Genomic DNA, 23,246 nt, shown 5'->3' with positions numbered 1-23,246 from the left:
CCACCTCCGCCCCATCAGGATTCCCTGTCCTGGGACCTGGGTTTTTTGTTCGTTTGTTTGTTTGTTTGTTGGTCTGTTAGCTCCTCTAATTAATTCCTTCCCTCCTCTGGCCCATCAGCCCCTTGATAGTAATAATTCTTACTTTCCATGACCTGTTGCTGCATTTGCATGATAAAGAGGTCAAAATGTGCCCAGTCACACAACTGAGGGAGTGAGGGAAGCTGGATTCACACCAACAGGCCACCTGGCAGTCCCAAGTCTACGCTTGGCCACTGTGCCACAGTCAGCTTCAGGAAGCCTAACCTGGCCCTCAGAGTTGCCCGTAACCATCTGGCTCTTTCCCCATCAAGCTGTAATTTTCCAGTGCAATTTTAAACCTTCTTCACTTCTCTTAAACCACTGACTTCCCTGCCTTTCCCCTCACTCTCAGTAGATGACTGTGTTTCCTTCACAAAGAAAGTAGAAGCCATCAGACCATTTCTCTTGTCCTCCTGCCATGAAATGTGAAAAACTTACCTGCATCTGCCTCCTTCATGGTGCCTTCCCACCTGCTACAATGGGATATTTTCAAAGATAATAAATAAATAAATAAATAAATAAATAAATAAGCACAACTATAACATAACAGTCATGTTTTTTTCCAAGGGGAGAATGAAGCCATTTTATTTAGGGGAATGTTAAAACAAAGCCATATACAATCTGTAACAAATACAATACAATTGTTTGTTCCCTAGTCCTGAATAATTACAGTATATACAAAATCTGTAAGGCACTGGTTCCCCCAAAAGAACAAATGAGTCTTCTTGTGAAACAGACAACGAAACCCCTATATTGCCAACTTTTCTCCAAAAAATATGGCATTGTTTTTTTGTTTTGTTTTACAAGAGGAATCACAATTGCTAAATTAAGTCACTTCTGATGCCATTTCTTTCATTTCCACTGCTATGTGTCTGGGTTTTCTAAGGCAATGTAACTACTGAACATGTTCAAGTTTAAAAAACTATACTTCTCTCAGTGCCGTTCCACCCACAAACAAAGAAGAATCAGATCAGACCAACAACATAAAACTTCTAATGAATATGTATGACTGTAGGAACATGAAATTCAGTCATTATTAAGTACTTGCTATACTTGACTACACACCAATTGAAATGTGTCAAAGAATTCCCTGTAAATAAAATCTCAGCATGTTTTCTAAGAAGCTTTCTGTTTGGGGAATTCAAAAATGGGCACTAATGACTTTTGAGCAGTGCTTTCCAGGAGGTCAAAGGCCTGTTTCCTCATACATAATGGTCATAGCACTCTTTTTGTGATTTAACAATCTACACACTTTTATAAATAAATATTATGTTTCATTTAGTACTTTATCATCCATAATATCTTACTCTCTAATCCACATAATGGAGTTGTGCCAGACTCCAAACTGAACATAATATTTATATATACATATATATTTATATATATACACACATACATAAACTATAAACCTGAATATCTTAGCATACAAAACTTATCTAACAACTAATAATTTAGGATTCCTTTGAGAGGGAGGGGTTAGAAGAAACTCTTCTTAGTCTTTGAAATAGTCCTGACAGTAAGCAATAAACAACATTATTAATTTCTGGGTTCTCATTTATTCAAGTGAAAGACAAATAAAATAAAATTCACTTCTGAGCCACTAGAAATTTTGAAATCATAAAGGATTATTGGGAAATGAGTAGTCTTTAAGAACAATTTAGTGTTATCTAAGTAAAGTGGATTTTGGTAAGATACAGAGAAAAATCTATGCATAAATAAATTCTTGTTTCATTGAGCAACTATAATCGCTAAGTGGGTCTTTTTAAGTATCTCAGGAATGTTTTTAAAATATTAATAGTGAATAAATTAGATTGAGGATAGGACCAATCTTTTCCAAAGCAACCAAATATAATAAGGAAGAAGTTTGAAGACTATTTTAATTTCTTCCCATCCTTCATTGGAACCAACACCTCCCTAGAAATCTAGCTTAATTTCAAATCATCACCTCCTCACAAAATATTCTGATTTGACGTTATCCACGTTCAAGTATTTACCAAAAAGAAAACATAATTTTATCTACAAGGTAAGCCCAACCTCACTTAAATTTAGGAAAAACCCAAGAAACAAAAACATGACCCACTTAACTGGCATAAATGTTTACCTGTTGTTTTGTAGATGATCTGTTTAGAGGCACTGAAGTTTCTCTTCAAGGCTCAGATGATTAGTCACACTTAGTTCTAACCATATATTCCTTCTAGGCTATCCCTAAGAATATAACTGACACAAGAGAAAGGAACCTTTACATTATTATTGAGGTTATTTTTAATATCAATTGAAGCAGCGTTCTGATTACAGTTCTACTTGTTTTCTAACTGTTTTCACTCTTTAAAAACACAATTTTTTTTTTTTCAATTTCAAGGATTACGAAATTCTTCTGTCTTAGTTACAAACAAAATGCAGCTATGAAGCACTGGGAAGTAAATGCAAAATATAGAAAGAATCTTCATGATTCTCCCAAACTGTAAGCACAGCTCACAAAGTCTCATTGCTTTAGAATGTTTTCTGGATGAACAAGTTACCAGCTGCAAACCGACTTCAGAAGTGAGGAAAATGTTTTCTCATGTTTCATGTAGCTGTCAAATTTTCAAAAATCCTCCATCCTTCAATCACCCAGTGGGGAAAATGTGTTATAAAACACTGCCCCCTGGAGTATTCTGGGAGGAATGTCTTAAAAAAAAAAAAAAACAGCAAGGAGAAAGTACTTTCAAATTCTTTACTAACCACTAACAGAATTTCTAAGAAGCAAAAGAAAACCACAGAAAGGAAATGTATATGAATAAAGTTGAGCAGGATGTGTACAACTTTAAACTGTATTGTATTCATGTTGCTAAACAATATTGGCCTTCTCGATGATTTTATTCATGTTGCTCCAAAGTTAAAACCCTGTAGAACTAAGTAGGTGAAGAGATATTTTGTATAAGTGCCACAGAAGAGAAAATATAATAAATTAAATAGTGAATTGAGCATCACTAGAATAAAATAAAATGAGTAGGCATTCCTAAGATGTGAAATGATCACCTAAGATATACATGCTCCAACCATATTGATTTTAGAACAAAACACAGCAGCCCATAACAGTTTGTGGCCTCTACTAACTGTCCTCTGCTGTCCCATCTAGAGGTTATGTTTCTCTATTTTTAAAATAAAATGTAGTTAAATTAGCCTGACGGATGTTTCCTCTCTATCCCTTATCTCAGACACATACAAAACAGACAGACAATAACAAAAAGACATCATCTTTATCTGTACAAAATAAGGTATGCACACTTTTTTCTTTGTGCTTCTGAGATTGGCTCCTTTGCATATATAAGATACAAGCCATCTGCACGATCACCCTCATTTCCTATCTTTGTTGACATGTTCCTCTTACAACACAAGAGCAAATTACCTCTATTTGAAAGCACCCTGTCTTCAACACAGCTCATGACAATTTTATTTAATATTGATCCTTTGAATGAGAGATCAAAAGCATGCACAGGTCAATCCTCTGCACATTAAAAAAAAAAAAAAAAAAAAAAAAAAAAAAAAGCTTTCTTTGTGTTTAATGAAAAGGGTTTTACCATGAAAGAGATGCCTAACTCAATCAGAAACAGAAGTGGATCTGAAGAACACCTATCAACAATTACTTCTATTAGAGTCACATAAACCTTCATTTGTTCCATATTGCCTGAAGCTGCAAAAGGCCACCTGCAGGAATTCCAAATGTGGTCCTAGACAGGCGGTGTTTGTACCCAGTGCATTCACATTACCATAGCGGCCCCAAATGCAGGGATGGCCAAAGTGGTCTGAGGAGGCCAAGACGGGGTGGGGAGTATGTTTAAGATGAGTTCCGTTCTATGTCCTCCAACTTAGACTGTCTTTTGGTTCACAGAGTGCAACAATATTTTACCAATGGAAAAACAAGTATTTTAATTTACCTTCCAGCAGAGTTCCTGGGAAGAATTTTGTTGTTATTATTTAAACTATAATACTATAACCCTTAAACCATCCACATTATCTGTTTTATTTTGGCAAAATGAAAGCATCTTAAAAAAAAAAAAAGGCAATCACAAAATACAGGGCTTTCTTAGAAAGCAACATGCATCATATCTTGAACAAGTTACCCAAGCGGTTTCTCCGTCCTACAAACAGACATGGATCAATCTCTCCTTCTGGGAGCTTCTCTGTCTTTGCCCAGGTCGCTCCCTGAGAGGTGAGGTCTGAACCCACTGGGAAGCAGGACGATGTTCAAGGCTTGTACTGTGGATGCTTATTTGATGTCTTTTGCTCTGCCCACAAACAGAAGAGTACCTGTTGGCTTTCTGCAGAGATGCTTACTTTTCCTCTCCTATCAGAGTTTAATGTCCTGGGACTCTGACATTTTGGCAAGTGTTTTCTTAACCCGCAGGGCTGTCAGCCTTGATGCAGGATTGTGAGCCCAGCATTCTGTCATGAGTTTTCCCATCTGCCTTAGACACTGAGGAAGAGAAATGTTAGAAAAATGTATCATCTGCAAGGCTGGCACCTGTTACAATGTAGCTTTTTAGTTTTAGGTTCATTAAGTTTGAATATATTTTTAAAAGGTACCCTTAAAACCATGTAGAAGTAAAATTCTGTAAGCTTTTTTCATGCAAAATTATATATGACTAAAACAGATGTTCATGTCTTCTTTGTGATAGAAACAAGCAGGTGGTTCTGCTGATTGTAGAAAGGTGTCTTTGAAATTAGTGTTAAGCAAACATAAAAATACCCAGGGAGTCTGTATTCCACTCAATACTCCCAGATTGTTTATAACACTTGATAAGTTTTAATCTTTTATCTAATTCCATACTATGCAAACAAACACAGTTATTCCTAAATCATAGCTGTCTGCTGCAGTAATAGCATCACACTGCACCATTTAACAAGATTAATGACCTGTGCACAGCATCACTAAAACTTTCTCCTGTGGTACATCAATTATTGGTCTTCCTATTGAAAAGTACAATTTCACTTCATAAGAAATCCTCAGTGAAGAGATATCAAGTAACACCAAAAGCCCACAATAACAGAGCTCCAGCATCTCATAAAGCTTTCTGCACAGCTTGCTGGAAAACGTATATATTATTTAGCATTTTAGTAACCAGACACAAAACCAATGAGCCAAAGGTGTTTTTGTTTTTGTTGTTGTTTGTTTATTTGTTTTAAGACAGGGTCTCGGTCTGTCGAGTGCAGTGTCATGATCCTGGCTCATTGCAACCTCCGCCTTCCGGGTTCAAGCAATTCTCGTGCATCAATCTCCCGAGTAGGTGGGAATACAGGTGTGCACCAACACACTAGGCTATTGTTTGTATTTTTTAATAGAGATGGGTTTTCACTATATTGGCCAGGCTGGTCTCGAACTTCTGGACTCAAGTGATCCACCCGCCTCGGCCTGCCAAAGTGCCGGGATTACAGATGTGAGCCACAGTGCCCGGCCCAGAGATTATATTTAAATGGCTTTTACACTTCAGAAATAGTGCTCTGTCCCCCCTTTGCAGTGCTTTGGTACGTTTGATAAGAGCCTGTTTTTTTTTCCAGTGGTGCTTCAAACTCATCTTGAACATTCCAGTCTGCCAGAGAACTCTAGAACATGGTGAGTTTGAAGGCTGCGAGGGTGGAAGGAGAGGAATGTGGAACAGGAGGAGGAGTCAGGAAAGGCAAGACTCATTTCTTCCTTACTAGCCGCTGCTTTCCAGACCTATGTAGGTTTCACCACTACAGCCTTAGAGCCAAGCTGAAGGTGGATTTGTTCAAATCACATCTCGTCATCCTTATTAACAAAGACACCCAGCACAGTCAGGCATCTTAACTAGGTCAACCTGTATCACTTTAACATGCCTACTTTTTTTCTCTAATCAAAATGGGAGAATGCTGTACATGGGTTTGTCACAGAGAAAAATTATGATGCTTTAAAAACACACACAGAGAAATAATAGGTTTTATGCAAATGTCAAGACATTATAAATAAAGAAAATAATGTTATTTGTTATGCAGGCTAAACACTGACCAACTCACTCAATATATTCTGGAAGTGGCAAAATAAAATTGGAAAAGTAGAACAAGTAATTTAACATACTACACTTATCTTCATATAAATTACTGCAATGAGGCGCCATCACCATCACCATCAAAAAAAGAAGAATTCCTACAATCAATATGTGGAATTTTAGCTAAAAAAGAAAAGTCTATTTAGAAGTCTGTCACAGCCACATGGTTACCTCAAGCCTTACCTCATCACTGCTCCACCGGTTTGGGAATGAGGGGCGTAACTTCTTGATGCACACAATCTCCCTCATGTCCTCATAAGAGGGGTCACTGGGCACTAGGTCATGATAAGGAAGCTGGTATTCTTCCACTATACCTAAAAATATGTTGTTACTATTATTATTATTATTATTATTTTCTGTGAAGTAGAAATAAAAGTCTAACACAGTTCTCAAAGGAAAAGTGCTATCAGTATTACAGACAAGTTCAGGCAGAAAAATAGCAAAATAAATCTTGAAAAATATTTACCCAAATGGTACTTAATCTAATTTAGAAAAAATGAATACAAAGCCCAATGAAAAATATTGTCATAGGTCTTCAAGCCTTTCTTTCCTAATTTCCAAAAGCTAAGTAAAACAAGCATCTTAAATTTATTTCCATTTTTATGAAGAACAAATTAAAAGACAAATCTATATTAAATCTCAATGCAAATCTGCAAGACATATCCTGAACTCATACTACATGTGACTGTTTCTATTACTATAGTATGAAACTATGAATATCATAATAAATTCAGAAGTGTATCCTACTTGAACAAAATGTCAGATTTACATTTTTTCTGCTTAATTGTAGGAATGTGGTTTTGCACATTAAAAATTTAGAAAATTACAGACACCCAAAAATATTAACCATGAATTTTTTAGGTTCAAGGATTATCTGATTTTTTTCCTATATTTATCCAAATTTTCAGTAAGGAATACATTACTATTAGAAAAAATATGTATTGTTAAAAGAAAAGAAATATAAATCTATAGCATCTTCATAAAAATGCACACTAAACTTTCATTTTATTGTTCCTAGTATTTAATTTCTACCTTCTTCCTCTTCTCCTTTAAAAATGCAGGCTTCTAGTATCTTCTTTTTCACCTTCTTAAGATTAACTCCTTATAATAATTACATTAGAGGCTGCTGCTCTGAACAATCTTTTGGGAGCACCCCTCCTCCCTATCCTAAATCATCTTTTATAGAAATATCATTGCTTTTCATCTGAAAAAGATGATGCCGTCAAGTTGGCAGATTATATATCACATCGTTAAATTCACTGGGGGCTTACTCTGCCAAAATCTGGGGTCTGTGTTATGTTCTTTCTTGTAAACTCAAATCTGTTATAAAATCATCAAGGACCAGAAGGTTCAGAAGTTTTTTCAGACCATTCCAACTCACCATTTGTCCTGTGCCCTGCTGTGACCACAGAGCTAATTATATGTATTATCTATGTTAATATTTCCTTTCACTGTGTTTTACCTCCATATGAGATAAGAAAAGCACAGGGCCTAACACGCAGGATGTGCTCTGCTTCATTTCAGTTCTTTCTCCCTTTCTCATTCTCAGGACCATGGCCCTGGAAACAGCCTGAAGGCAAAGCCCACATCTCTTTAACCCATCTCCTATTTTCCGCTGGTGGATGGACTGATGGATGGGGTGGGGTAGGTGTATCTACTACAACAGACGAAGGCAGAGCTCACCACTTAAAATTATGAATTACTCAAATCTAACTGTTGAATAATAGGCCTTATTCTTTTCTCCATGTCATGTAATCAAGTTTTCAAAATTTCCTGTTAGCTGCCATTTAACTCTGTTTGAAACCTCAAACCTTTCTGTCTTTCTTCTCCTTTAAAAGATGGAAAGGCCTACATCTGGATGTGTCTCTTTCACCCAGAAGGGCCTGGACTAGAAAGATAAGCCCAAAAAACTTCTAATATCTTCATAAAGTGTTAGAAAATAGAATTTTGTGTGCTTTGCCTCTCTGGAAAAATAAAATCGCTTATTGAGAGCTTCCTCTATCCCAGTTGTGGAAACAGGTATGCTATATAAATTATCTTATTAAATTCTCACAAATGCGTTTCTGAGATGACATTATTCTCCACACTACTCAGATGAGGAAACTTGGCTCTCAGGGGTTAAGTAACTTGCCCAAGTCCATTCAGTTGGTATGGGACAGAGCAGGGACTCCAACACCTCTAACAATAAGGCAACATTATAGCAAATCTCCACATCCAAAGACAGCCCTAGCAAAGCAAATTAATACCCTAGCACAGCAATTAATACCCTGCTGTTTATATAAAGCTACTTTGTTTTTAAGCTGAGAATAATTTCTCCTGTATTTGGCCCACAGGCTTTCAAATATAGGCTTCCTGTAGCCCTGTTTGTTTTAGATGTTCAAGAAAACATAATTAGAAAAATAACCTTGTTCTCTACACCTTCAACTTCCATAAAGCTATCTTAATTAAGTATAAGCATATTATTTTTTAAAAGGCTCGTCTACTTGTTTTTTTTTTTTTTTTCTTTTTAAATACAGACTGGGTCCCAATCTATTGCCCAGACTAGTCCTCAACTCCTGGCTTCAACTGATCCTCCCCGCTTGGACTCCCAAAATGCTGGGAATGCAAACGTGAGGCTTATCTACTCTTTATAATGCGTGAAATCAAGGCATAGACAATTTGTTAAATTTTTTGGTTACTTCTTCTTTACACTTAGAATGAGAAATTTATTCAATATCTGGTTAGAGAAAATTTCCTGCATTAACTTTCCTTTTGCACAAAATAGTTCCCTCACTTCAGAGAGTATGTGTTCTATTTCAAATTTCTTAAAACAGGTTCAGAATTCCCAAAGTGATTATTAGAAGGCACTGTGCCACTGATAATGATCTTTCTATTGAAGTGTGAATGCAGGTTGATTAACTGTTTCTTCTTTGTATTTAAATATGAACCTAAAGATGTTATGGCTCTACCAACCAAAATGAAAAGTATTAATAGTAATAATAGCTAACATGTATTGAGTGCTATTTATGTGCCAGGCAGTTCTCATTATCTTTACATTGAAACCATACAACCACAGAAGCAGATACAATAATTCAATTCATCTTTAAGAGGACTCTGAAACAAAGAAAAGTTTATAACCTGTCCAAGGCATCACAGATAAATAGCAGGAACAAGAACACATCTCAGTACTAGTTAAGTGCATGCTGCACTTTCAGAATCTTCAGCAAGCTCATGTTTTCATGAAGATAGACTTAAATTGGCCATTATGAGGAACAGCAGCAGCATCAAGGTTTTTTAATGAGCACAACCATGGAATAACATACAGAAGAGTTGATACAGAAAAGCCAAAGATTCAGCTCCTTGCCTAAAAGGTGTCAGAATTTACTCGAAGACAGACTGTAGAGCAATCAAAATAGTACAAGTAATAATACTTCTGAATATTTAAATATGTCTTCTTGTTCATTATAATTGTTTTTACTAGGGAATCCTCATATGTGTAGAAAAAACAATATAAAAAAATAATACTCTGATACTTTAATTTCCTTTTGATAAAAAACTGATGTTTTCAAATTGCTTTATGGGGAAGTTTTATAAAAAATACAGCAGGTAAGAAATGGGTGTCCGACCCCACATTTATGGCCTACTGTCATCTCTGCAGAGGAAATCCCAGGGAATGGAGTTGGGGATGGGGCCCAGCAGCTAGGTGAGAATAAACTGGCAGGGACAGAAAAGGGGGTTTGATTTCATCGAGCAACTGCTGGAGGAAGAACCCAAGACAGAAATAAGACAATACACAGAGCAGAAAACAGTGATGCTTGAAAAAGCAGGGTAGGCTGACAGTGTGTCTAGTGGCAGCTGGAGGAAGGAAGCAGTCAAAGATTATTCTAGGATGTCGAATATAATTTCCTGGAAGCACTATGACTGCATCAACAGAAATAAAGGGGAAAATAAAACCAGATCTTATAGACAGTATGATAACTTTGATTTCTGATCAGAAAGAAAGGATTTATAGTAGCTCCAATAGTAGCTTTTCAAAGACAGCACTGTTTCTTACCTCCTGATACACATCTCCTAGCAACCTCCCAAAGGATGAGGCCAAAACTATACATGTCAGCCATGATGTAAGACTGGAAGTGATTTCTGTTCAAGCTCTCGTCCAACACTTCTGGAGGCATATAGCGTTTGGTGCCAACTCGAGTGTTAGGTGGTATGTCAACTTCATTTGTATCACTAAGGAAAAAGTAAAGCAAAGCATTACAGCATTGAAGAGGACCAACAAAAACGAATCAAGGTGATTCTGAAACAATGGCTTTAGTTAGTGAAAAGTGGAAAAGAAAAACTTTCCAGGGAATAAAAACAATTTCTTAAAGAATATTTCTTGCCAAAAGCTATATTAAATATTTACAGGTTAAAAGCCAATGAAAGGCAAGCTGATACTGTGGTGCATGCCTGTAGGCCCAGCTATTCTGGAGGCTGAGGTGGAAGGATAGCTTGAGCCTAGAGGTTCAAGGCCTGACTGGGCAACATAGTGAGATGCCATCTCTTAAAAAAAGTTAGAAAAAAAAAACAATGAAGATAAAACTCAGTCAGAATGAAGCTGCAGCATTTAAAATTGCATTACCAATAGATCAAATTTATACCCTAAACAACTGCTAAATATATATTAAATATCTAAAAAAACCCTCTTCCTTCCCCTCCTATTTTAAAAACTTTACTCTTAAAATGGGCATGCACACATGACAATTTCATGTGAAACAGTATTTTTTAAGCCAGCTGTTGTAAAGCTCTTAGATCTATAAACAGGTTTCAAAAGGGGAGAAGGAGAGAACCAACAAAGACATGCAATTGTTTTACTCTGACAAGGTGGGACATATAAAAAAGCTTTCTGCTATCACTATTGTTTTATGAACCAAATAGCATTTAACTTTTTTTTTCAAAGGAAGAAAACAATAATGGAATATAACATCTTTAACTTTCTGAAAATTTTACAACAGGCCCATTTACTATTCCTTCCCATAGACTGGGAAAAGAGTAATGACGGAGGGACAACAACCTGCACACTGGCACTTGGGAACCATTGCTTCAGTGCGATGAGCTGGAGCCACAGTTCCAGCCCCTGTTCTAAGGGTGCTGAATGACTAGGCTGATGATTAAATGAGATGACATGTACAAGCCCTGCCAACATGGTACTAGGCACATATTAGATACTTAAGTACTGTAACTCATCAGAAAGTAAAGGAACTAGGTAGAAAAGTAACAAACCCTAGATATGACAGATGAACAGACTATAACCAAATAAGGTATACTATAAAACCAAAAAGGTACAGAAACTCATTATTAAGCTGAACTCTGTGGAAAATCTTGAATAAACCTTTCTACCTCCTGATTCCCAACAATTTTTTTTTTTGCTTTTGCTTTTCATTACACTCTATTGACTTTCAAGAATTTACATGTTATTTCTCCTCAGCCTGGAAAACAGATTCATTTATCGAATATCACACTTATCCTGCTGTCATAGATAGTCAATACCAAAACACTAGTGGCTTCAGGAAAAAAACAAAAATCAAAAACCTCTGGGTTTGATCTCATTGCCTTGACCACTTCTACAACATGAAATACATGGTGTCATTTTTTGTCATTTGAGAACATTTTAAGTGTCATTCTGAATATCTCAAAATTTTTACATTTACTAAAACATAAAATGCAAAACTTCATTTTAGAACATTTTAAAGTCACTTCCGGCTAGAATTCTTAATCTAAAATTTTATGTTTTAGATAAGATGACATATCAACAGATATGTCATCAGTGTACTCATTAGGCCCCTCGTGGTTTTCTAGGTGCAATAATAACTAGCCTGTTTTCTTAAATAAAAGTTAAGACGTTAAAAAAAAAGTTAAAGTGTAATTAAAAAACAAAACAGATGGTATTCTTTACCATATGCAAACATAGGTCCCAGTGTTCTGGGATCTTTTCTAAAACTGGAAAAAGAGGCTAAAATGTTAATTCTCAGCACTTATTGGTATAATAGAAAATTGTCATTTGTATGTGTAAATGATAAATGACAGGGGAGGAAAGTATGCTGAGAAGAGACTTAATGGTAAACTGGAAACATGTCAGATTGAATAGATGCTACAAAAGCTCCATTTCCATTTATAAAGCACGCTCTCCTCCTACTCCACCTGCTGACACCTCTCATGGGAGCAGAGTAGGGATTTCACTAATGTGGTGCCAGCATGTCCTAATTTTAATTTTTAATCATGAGGAAGATAGTGGTGACCCCAGGTAAGAAGTCCTGGGTCCCATGCAGAGAAAACAAACATGAGGGTTTGCAGATGAAAAGAAGATGGTTAAAGACCTCCACTGTATTCCAGAACAAGAAGAATCTTAAGACAATCCACACAGAAGGGCATTTAGAAAGGCCAAAGGTGTAATCTGACCACAGTTGATAAAGATTTTAGGCAATTTCATTCCATTCTTACTCTTAGCTCCTTAATGTTTATTTGGATTTGGGAGGTCAGGAAAAGATAATGGAATGTGTGATGTAGAGATATCTATTAGAAAAATGAAAGGTAATTGTGACCTAATAATAGAATTAAAATTTGTGACAGCTGGAGTATACATAGTTCATCTCTAAATTCTTTTTCTCAAACACTGCAAAAACATACACTCAAGGATTCTGAATGTCCACCAAATGCCAAAAATCAGTCCTTTACATAGTCCCTTAAATACATATGCATGTTCAGCAATAAGCCATCTCTCTCCTCCCCTTCCTCTCCCACCCTAGACGTTTGCCCTAGTAGTAGCTGAATAAATCTTCTCCCTAGTAACATTTGAGTAAGTAATCTGTTTTCCAACTGAAGACTATCAACTCCTCTGAGCCCCCAAATACTTGTCATAGTCATTTGGTATATCCCCAAAGAGCATAGCCCCAATCCTTCTCCATTCGCAGTGTGTCTTGCACATGACAGGAAAATAATGTACTTTAAATGAAAGAAGGAAAAGGTTTGTTTACACTAAACTTTGCTATGGATAATTTAAAGGGAAATGTAAAAATCTCTGGACTGCATGGGCCATAAAATGAGATCTTACCAATTTCTAGAAGGATAAATAGAATTTTGTTGAGCAAACTAATTTTGTGAAAGATCACTATCAACCTATTGGCAAGTGCCTTTAGCACTACACTTAAACAACAAACATGAGAATTATAGGTAATCCATATCTGATACTGTAAAGTGTCAGATCCTCCAAAACATTTAGCTCTGCCCCTTCTTCCCTCAGGCATGTTTCTATAATTGAAAGTCATTAGACTACATTTCTTTCTCAGATTTTCAGTAGCATCATTTTACCTGTTCCCAAATAATGGCAGAGAAAAATCAAGCTTGTGTTAATCCTAAAGCCAAAAATAGACATAAATGTGATTTAACACTGGGGTGCCAAGAATAAAGGAAGAAAAAGGGAATGGAAGTAGAGTCAGATGGTGTGGTACACGTGAGAACAGACAGTACAACAGACGGAAAGTTCCAGGAGAAAGAAGGAGGCAGAAAAGGGCAGGGTGCCTTCTGCACTAGCTTCCTCTAGCCTCCTTGTCCACAGAGGGCTATGGAGGGGAGAAACAAGGTTGACAAGAAAAGATAGATACTGCACAAGGGCTGTAGACTCAGAGACAATAATTCCAACCCCACGCAATAATCCTATGTACTGCAGTAGCTACATACATATGAAGTCAGATTATAAAATCATACAGAGGAGACATAAATAGGATACTCGTTACTTCTGGGAAGGATAGCAGGAAATGAAAAAGGAATGGGACTGCAACAGGGCTATCTTCAACATTTTATTTCTTTTAAAAAGAAAAACCAGAGAAAAACAAGGTAAACTGCTAACATCTGTTCATATTACATGGGTGTCTCATTTTTATACTTTTGTGTATGTTTATATCACAAATATAAGTATATATATTTCTAAGTATAGTATAAGTTAAAAGAACCCAGCAGGATCCAGAACTAGAAAATGTACATTTCAAGGATTACAGGACAGGTTATAGGCATAAGGACGGGAAGAACAAAAGTGATATAAATAAACTGGATAAAATTACAGAGAAAATGAGCTGCTACGAAGGAGAACTGAAAATATCCCATTAAAAACAAAAGTGTTGCATTCACTACAGAAGAAATGTTCTCTCTCTTCTTCTTTCCCATGGAGAATGGTTGGAAATGTGTGCACAAAGAGGTCATTATTAAGAGTAGGGTTCAGAGAATTATAAGAGTAGACAATTTTGCCCTTTTATACTTCAATAATCAATGCTGCCACTAGATCCAACATGGCTTTTGTCCCTGTTAATGTGAGTACTAAAGAGATTCAGACTTAAGTAGAATTAGAAGGAAATACAATTTGAGGAAAATAAAATAAAGAGATGTCAGATAAATTCCTCTCCAGGAAAAAAGCTTTCTTAGTTTTCAAATCATGCTTCAATGAGTATTTTTTTTAAAAAAAAAAAAGGCCTGGTGTGGTGGTTCATGCCTGTAATCTCAGCATTTTGGGAGGCCAAGGCAGGTGGATTGCTTGCTTGAGTCCAGGAGTTCAAGACCAGCCTGGGCAACATGGTAAAACCCCGTCTCTACTAAAAATACAAAAATTTGCTGGGTGTGGTGGCACATGCCTGTAGCCCCAGCTACTTGCGAGGCTGAAGCAGGAGGATCACTTGAGCCCAGGAGGCAGAGGTTGCAGTGAGCCAAGATCACACCACTGCACTCTAGCCTGGGCAACAGAGGGAGACCTCATCTCAAAAAATCAATAAACATTTAGGGACAGTGGAGATAGAACAGGATAAAATGAAAATGTCTACAATTTTCTGAGTAAGAAATTAATGAGAGCCTGGGGGTAAAGGGGAACTCAGTGAGGGAGAAAAAGGGTTCTGTTCTTCTAGCCTAGGGTCATAAGATACTAAGCCCTGTAGGGGTAAAAAAAAAAAAAAATTGGGAGAAATGTCCAGGTGGACTAAATTTTATGTACTATCTTCCATCACAATCTCCAGTAAAAACATCTTCAAACCTGAGCTGTTCGTATTTTGGAAGCCAGGAACCAGCAACTATATAATGTGGAAAAGGCACAACATATATGGGAGCTATCGGCTGATAATGCAAAGGGGAACACAACTCCTTTGAATTCCCAGACAAGCAGTGAATAATGCTGAGTTCCCTACTGTACCAGGTACGAATGAGGTTAATGTCTGCATTCATCTGGATCTCAAAATGCAGGGCTGCTCTCAGCTAGGATTATTTAAAGAGGCCAGAAAACCAAGTTCATATTTCTGACCAAAGTCACTTGAATGACAGTGGTATGATATAGAAAATGCCAGCATGGTGGAGTATGAGGTCTACATTGATAATCAAAGGGCTTCATAAGTCTATGGACACTCCAAGTGGCTCTTCTACCCCAGGGAAGACACTAACAAAGTGACAGTTCTGTAGGTTATGGTTTTGAGGGTAGGGAAGGGGAGCAAAGGGAAAGACTTTGAGAGAGAGAGAGACAAGAAAATTAAAAGACACACGAAACTATGATTTTCCTCTTCTCCTCTGAAGGTGCCAGGGAAGGACATACCAAGGAGGGGGTGATGGGAGCCACTCACTCTGCCAGGAGACATATTTTAGCCACTGACATTGTTTAGAATTGCAGCACATGGTGACAATAAAAGTAGGATTTTAATCAGTTTTATTATCGACAGTGTACTCCCTTCCTGCCTGTGCCTGGTGTACCACCCCTGGCGTGCCCCTTAGCACAGCACTGCTGCCTGGTATGGCGTGTGTGCACTGCAGGTGTTAGTGTAACTGTGGGAGGGAAGTCATGGGGCTGCTTGTGTGTGCAGAAAGGCTGAAAGTGGAGCCTTCAGCTGGGATCCTGAGCAGGTTGGAGAATGAAACATGAGCACCCCAGTGGACTCAGGGAACAGTGCATGCCTTAAGCTCTTGACTATCATGCATTAAATGAGGGCAGGCAAAAGATTTTTGTTTCGGTGGCAAGGAGTAAGGGGGAGTTTTTTAAAAATATAGTATCTCTTCAGCCTCATAATATATTAAATGTTTTTCATGTTAATTAAGCCTTTTAGTTATAAACCTAAACCCAGAAATTCTGGCTAAAAGTGTTATGTTAAAAAAAAAAAAAAAGAGCCCCAACTACTTGACTGAGCACAGGGCACTTTCCCCACTGTACCATAAACTGAAGTAAGAGTCTCATGAAAGTCCTAAGCACAGCCCGCTGTGGCAATGAGAGGCGAGCGCAGGGAAAGAGTTGCTAGCTCCAACAAGGTGGCTCTACCTCATTGAGCCTTTGGGCACATGCGGATGGTCCTCCTGCTGGATGCTGTTGATGCCTAAAAGAAAGAGAGGAAAGGGAAAGAGAGGAAGTAGGAAGGTAAAAAAACGTAATAGACAGGAGAAAGAAAAGAGAAGCAAACATTGTACCCCTTAAAAAATCTAAAAAGCTTCTTATGAAATAAGAACTGTACTTTAAAGAGTGTGTGGAAAAAAAAGGAGGCATGAGAAGACATGTGAAGGAGGCCATGGGTTTGCCTGTGGCTTGTAAGTGATGTCTGAAATTAACTACCCATTACATATACTACAGGATGTTAAATCCTCTCTCAGCAAGATGATTTGGATTCCCCAAAAGCATAAAAAATTCTCAAGAGTCTATGGAAGAAGGGGCTGTGCACATCCCTGTGGGTTTCCTGTGGCATCCTGGAGATAGCTGAGGAACTGACTTGCAGAATTGAACTCTGCCTGGCAGATGTTCACCAATAAGGGGAGTTTTCTGCAGCTACTTTCAACATTCAATGCTGCTATGATAAAATCCCAAGAAATCTCAGGGTATCTTAGAAACAGAACTTTAGAACTAAAAAGTCTTCAACATAAGGTGGGTATGGTTGCAGAAACCTTGACTGGGAGTGTTCACTATGCCACGAATGAGCTTAGTTTTATGACTTTGGTGGGTCATTTAGCCAAATCAATTTTAAAATGCAAACCAAAAGCAGTGCTAAAAAGAATCATATCAGCAAGACTCAAGAAATTCAGTACCCTCCGAACTAAGCTACCCTATCTCTTTTGTACTTGGATAATTTCTCAATCATCCACTGGACATCAGTGTGACAGCCTAGTCTTTATTGCAGGTTTTTTATTTTAATTTAATACCAGAGAGCCCTAAGCCAGGATTTATTTTTCCCATATGAAAATATTTTGTTCTGACTCTGAAGTCTCAGAGTGGTTGCTGAATTCTTCAGAGTGAAGAGTGAAAAGCTTTGTAAGTTTCTTCAAGGCATTTCATGTGTCATTGTTTTCTCCTCCCAATAGAGATTGAAGGTAATGGTGATGTCCGCCAGCACATCACCTGGATTAAATTTCTGCTGAGCAGGAAATGCATCGGCACTTACGTCACTGTCAAGAGAATGCATGAAGAAACCAATACAGCGTTTTAAAATTTATATGAGCAGGAAATCTCTCAGGCACAGTCTGCTCCCTCTCTGTGGCTCTCGACTTCCCTGGGAGCCTTTCAGAAATGACTGAAAAGCCTAAGAGAACACTTACCATTACACAGAGACTGTCTCACAGGAAGTTCTCATATGAAGTCAGAGAATTCAGCACAGGGTAAGCTGTGACTCCACTTGTAATTAAAGTCTAAATATCCATGCATATGTGCACAAATACAATATAAAACAGTGGAAAAAAAAGAGTAGAAACTAAAGAAACACATAAAGCAAGTTTTAAAAATTAGGCTCAAAAACTGAGAAGAGCAAACTTTGAAACATAGAAAATAAAACTGGAAAAAGCACCTCTGAAATGATCAAATGTAACCTGCATGTAATGGAAGATGATGCTGAGGCCCAGAAAGGTAGATGGCCTCACACAGCTAGGCTATGGCCATAGGAGTCTGCACAGCCAACATCTGAGCCATCATCTTCATCTCTTCATCTCTTGATGAAGTAGTTAATATATGCCAAGTAAATGTCTGAATTATCCCTTAAAATAGTCCCTCCACTTCCTAGAATCAGGGTTTGTATGAAATTTGAGAGGTCATTCAGTTCATTCTCCTTCCATTAAGCAGAACTAAGTTTCTATAATATAATAGATACTCACTTTCCTTTTTTGTTTTAAGGTCTATAAAGGAGATGAGTCTCAGTTACTTTGCTATTGCCTACATTTATTGATTCACAACAATGTTAGAATATCTATAATGGGTAACTCACTATGTCATGTTAAATGGGAAATATATTAATTAAGCTGGCATGTATCCTGCTCTCAGGATGCACCATCACTGGTAGGAGAAATGAAGCATGTCCCAAAATAATTATAATACCAAGCAGACAAAGACCGGGAAATTAAAGAGTAGTACAGAAGATGCTGTCATTATTCTCAGCTGGGGGATGAATCAAGTGACTTAGAGGTGATTCTGAGACTGGATTAAGATACATGGAAAATCAGGGACTTTCCAAGCTAGGGACTGTGCAATCAAAAGCAAGGCAACAGCAAGCATGGAATATATAAGGAGAAAATTCAAGCAGCTCAGTTTCGCAAAAGAAAGCATACAAATTGGAGAGTTTGTAGAATGTAAGATTAGAAAGGGGGATTTCGTCCAGAATGTGTAGGATCTCTGGTGTTAGGAAAAAAGTTCTTTTTCCTTCATCCTGTGTTCCATATGGAATCATTTATCCATTAAAAGTTAAGTAATGAGCACCAGGGAAAGGCACTAGAAACGCAAATCTGAAAAATGCATGTTATCTACTTTCAAGGGGCTTACTTTCCATTGGGAATGACAAATAAGTAGTCAATGATGACTACATAACAGGCAAGACATTTCATGGTAATAAGCACAGAGTTACATTAGAAGACATAAGAACGGAGACTAAAAACAGCAGGTGGGGAAGTTACAAGATGGCCGAATAGGAACAGCTCCAGTCTATAGCTCCCACCATGAGCGACGCAGAAGATGAGTGATTTCTGCATTTCCAACTTAGGTACTGGGCTCACCTCACTGGGGCCTGTCGGACAGTGGGTGCAGCCCACACAGTGTGAGCCGAAGCAGGGTGGGGCATATCGCCTCACCCGGCAAGCGCAAGGGGTCAGGGAATTCCCTTTCCTAGCCAAGGGAAGCCATGACACACGGTACCTGGAAAATTGGAACACTCCCACCCTAATACTGCACTTTTCCAACAGTCTTAGCAAACGGCACACCAGGAGATTATATCCCGCGCATGGCTCCGAGGGTCCCACGCCCGGCTCGGAGGGTCCCACGCCCATGGAGCCTCGCTCATTGCTAGCACAGCAGTCTGAGATTGAACTGCAAGGCGGCAGCGAGGCTGAGGGAGGGGCGTCCGCCACTGCTGAGCTTGAGTAGGTAAACAAAGCAGCCAGGAAGCTCAAACTGGGTGGAGCCCACTGCAGCTCAAGGACGCCTGCCTGCCTCTGTAGACTCCACCTCTGGGGGCAGAGTACAGCTGAACAAAAGGCAGCAGAAACTTCTGCAGACTTAAACATCCCTGTCTGACAGCTTTGAAAAGAGTAGTGGTTCTCCCAGCATGGAGTTTGAGATCTGAGAACGGACAGACTGCCTCCTCCAGTGGGTCCCTGACTCCTGAGTAGCCTAACTGGGAGGCACCTCCCAGTAGGGGCCGACTGACACCTCATACAGCCAGGTGCCCCTCTGAGACGAAGCTTCCAGATGAAGGATCAGGCAGCAACATTTGCCGTTCTGCAATATTTGCTGTTCTGCAGCCTCCGCTGGTGATACCCAGGCAAACAGGGTCTGGAGTGGACCTCCAGCAAACTCCAACAGACCTGCAGCTGAGGGTCCTGACTGTTAGAAGGAAAACTAACAAACAGAAAGGACATCCACACCAAAACCCCATCTGTACATCACCATCATCAAAGACCAAAGGCAGATAAAACCACAAAGATGGGGAGAAACCAGAGCAAGAAAGCTGAAAATTCTAAAAATCGAGCACCTCTTCTCCTCCAAAGGAAGGGAGCTCCTCACCAGCAATGGAACAAAGCTGCACGGAGAATGACTTTGACGAGTTGAGAGAAGAAGGCTTCAGACAATCGGCATTAACAAACTTCTCCGAGCTAAAGGAGGATGGCCAAACTCATTGCAAAGAAGCTAAAAACCTTGAAAAAAGATTAGACGAATGGCTAACTAGAATAAACAGCATGGAGAAGATCTTAAATGACTTGATGGAGCTGAAAACCATGGCACAAGAACTACGTGATGCATGCACAAGCTTCAGTAGTCGATTCGATCAAGTGAAAGAAAGGGTATCAGTGATGGAAGATCAAATGAATGAAATGAAGTGAGAAGAGAAGTGTAGAGAAAAAAGAGTAAAAAGTAATGAACAAACCCTCCAAGAAATATGGGACTATGTGAGAAGACCAAATCTACGTCTGATTGGTGTACCTGAAAGTGATGGGGAGAATGGAACCAAGTTGGAAGACACTCTTCAGGACATTATCCAGGAGAACTTCCCCAACCTAGCAAGGCAAGCCAACATTCAAATTCAGGAAATACAGAAAACACCACAAAGATACTCCTCAAGAAGAGCAACTCCAAGACACAGAATTGTGAAATTCACCAAAATTGAAATGAAGGAAAAAATGTTAAGGGCAGTCAGAGAGAAAGGTCGGGTTAGCCACAAAGGGAAGCCCATCAGACTAACAGCTGATCTCTCAGCAGAAACTCCACAAGCCAGAAGAGAGTGGGGGCCAATATTCAACATTCTTAAAGAAAAGAATGTTCAGCCCAGAATTTCACATCCAGCCAAACTAAGCTTCATAAGTGAAAGAGAAATAAAATACTTTACAGACAAGCAAATGCTGAGAGATTTTGTCACCATCAGGCCTGCCTTACAAGAGCTCCTGAAGGAAGCACTAAACATAGAAAGGAACAACCGGTAGCAGCCACTGCAAAAACATGCCAAATTGTAAAGACCATCGATGCTAGGAAGAAACTGCATCAACTAACGAGCAAAATATGCAGCTAACATCATAATGACAGGATCAAACTCACACATAACAATATTAACCTTAAATGTAAATGGGCTGAATGCTCCAATTAAAAGATACGGACTGGCAAATTGGATAAAGAGTCAAGACCCATCAGTGTGCTGTATTCAGGAGACCCATCTCATGTGCAGAGACACACATAGGCTCAAAATAAAGGGATGGAGGAAGATGTACCAAGCAAATGGAAAACAGAAAAAAGCAGGGGTTGCAATACTAGTTTTTGATAAAACAGACTTTAAACTAACAAAGATCAAAAGAGACAAAGAAGGCCATTACATAATGGTAAAGGGATCAATTCAACAAGAGCTAACTATCCTAAATATATATGCACCCAATACAGGAGCACCCAGATGCATAAAGCGAGTCCTTAGAGACCTACAAAGAGACTTAGACTCCCACACAATAATAATGGGAGACTTTAACACCCCACTGTCAACATTAGACAGATCAACGAGACAGAAAGTTAAGAAGGATATCCAGGAATTGAACTCAGCTCTGCACCAAGCAGACCTAATAGACATCTACAGAACTCTCCACCCCAAATCAACAGAATATACATTCTTCTCAGCACCACATTGCACTTATTCCAAAATTGACCACATAGTTGGAAGTAAAGCACTCTTCAGCAAATGTAAATGAACAGAAATTATAACAAACTATCTCTCAGACCACAGTGCAATCAAACTAGAACTCAGGATTAAGAAACTTACTCAAAACCGCTCAACTACATGGCAACTGAACCTGCTCCTGAATGACTACTGGGTACATAACGAAATGAAGGCAGAAATAAAGATGTTCTTTGAAACCAATAAGAACAAAGACACAAACATACCAGAATCTCTGGGACACATTTAAAGCAGTGTGTAGAAGGAAATTCATAGCACTAAATGCCCACAAAAGAAAGCAGGAAAGATCTAAAACTGATACCCTAACATCACAATTAAAAGAACAAGAGAAGCAAGAGCAAACACATTCAAAAGCTAGCAGAAGGCAAGAAATAACTAAGATCAGAGCAGAACTGAAGGAGGTAGAGACACAAAAAACCCTTCAAAAAATCAATGAATCCAGGAGTTGGTGTTTTGAAAAGATCAACAAAATTGATAAGACTGCTAGAAAGACTAATAAAGAAGAAAAGAGAGAAGAATCAAATAGATGCAATAAAAAAATGATAAAGGGGATATCACCACCGATCCCACAGAAATACAAACTAACATCAGAGAATACTATAAACACCTCTACGCAAATAAACTAGAAAATAGAAGAAATGGATAAATTCCTCGACACATACACCCTCCCAAGACTAAACCAGGAAGAAGCTGAATCCCTGAATAGACTAATAACAGGCTCTGAAATTGAGGCAATAATTAATAGCCTACCAACGAAAAAAAGTCTAGGACCACATGGATTCATGGTTGAATTCTACCAGAGGTACAAAGAGGAGCTGGTACCATGCCTTCTGAAACTATTCCAATCAACAGAAAGAGAGGGAATCCTCCCTAACCCATTTTATGAGGCCAGCATCATCCTGATACCAAAGCCTGGCAGAGACACAACAAAAAAAGAGAATTTTAGACCCAATATCCCTGATGAACATCGATGCAAAAATCCTCAATAAAATACTGGCAAAACGAATCCAGCTGCACATCAAAAAGCTTATCCACCATGATCAAGTGGGCTTCATCCCTGGGATGCAAGGCTGGTTCAACATACACAAATCAATGAACATAATCAATAAATGTAGTCCGTCTGGTCCTGGACTTTTTTTGGTTGGTAGGCTATTAATTATTGCCTAGCAAAGACAAAAACCACATGATCATCTCAATAGATGCAGAAAAGGCCTTCAACAAAATTTAACAGCCCTCCATGCTAAAAACTCTCAAAAAACTAGTTATTGATGGGACGTATCTCAAAATAATAAGAGCTATTTATGACAAACCCATGGCCAATATCATACTGAATGGGCAAACACTGGAAGCACTCCCTTTGAAAACTGGCACTAGACAGGGATGCCCTCTCTCAGCACTCCTATTCGACATAGTGTTGGAAGTTCTGGCCAAAGCAATCCAGCAGGAGAAAGAAATAAAGGGTATTCAATTA

At 38.4% G+C, this 23,246-nt stretch overlaps 1 protein-coding gene across 12 annotated transcripts in view; it reads right to left on the bottom strand.

Moving 5' to 3' along the window:
- Positions 632 to 23,246, bottom strand: part of BMPR1B (bone morphogenetic protein receptor type 1B) — a 400,496-nt gene continuing 377,881 nt past the window's right edge. For 9 of the 12 annotated variants that reach the window (XM_017008559.2, XM_047416093.1, XM_047416091.1 and 6 more), the window contains 3 exons: positions 10,159 to 10,334; positions 6,309 to 6,439; positions 632 to 4,534 (listed from right to left, as the gene is read on the bottom strand). In XM_017008559.2, the coding sequence (XP_016864048.1) occupies positions 4,409 to 4,534; positions 6,309 to 6,439; positions 10,159 to 10,334 (433 nt within the window). In that variant the 3' untranslated portion in view covers positions 632 to 4,408. The remainder of the gene's footprint in view (positions 4,535 to 6,308; positions 6,440 to 10,158; positions 10,335 to 23,246) is intronic. The other 3 variants (NM_001203.3, NM_001256792.2, NM_001256793.2) reach the window with 1 other exon arrangement.

This window comes from Homo sapiens, chromosome 4 (genome assembly GCF_000001405.40).
Source record: "Homo sapiens chromosome 4, GRCh38.p14 Primary Assembly".
Taxonomy (NCBI): Eukaryota; Metazoa; Chordata; class Mammalia; order Primates; family Hominidae; genus Homo; species Homo sapiens.
Note: the sequence above shows the minus strand (reverse complement) of the source record. Positions and strands in the feature narration are given on the sequence as shown.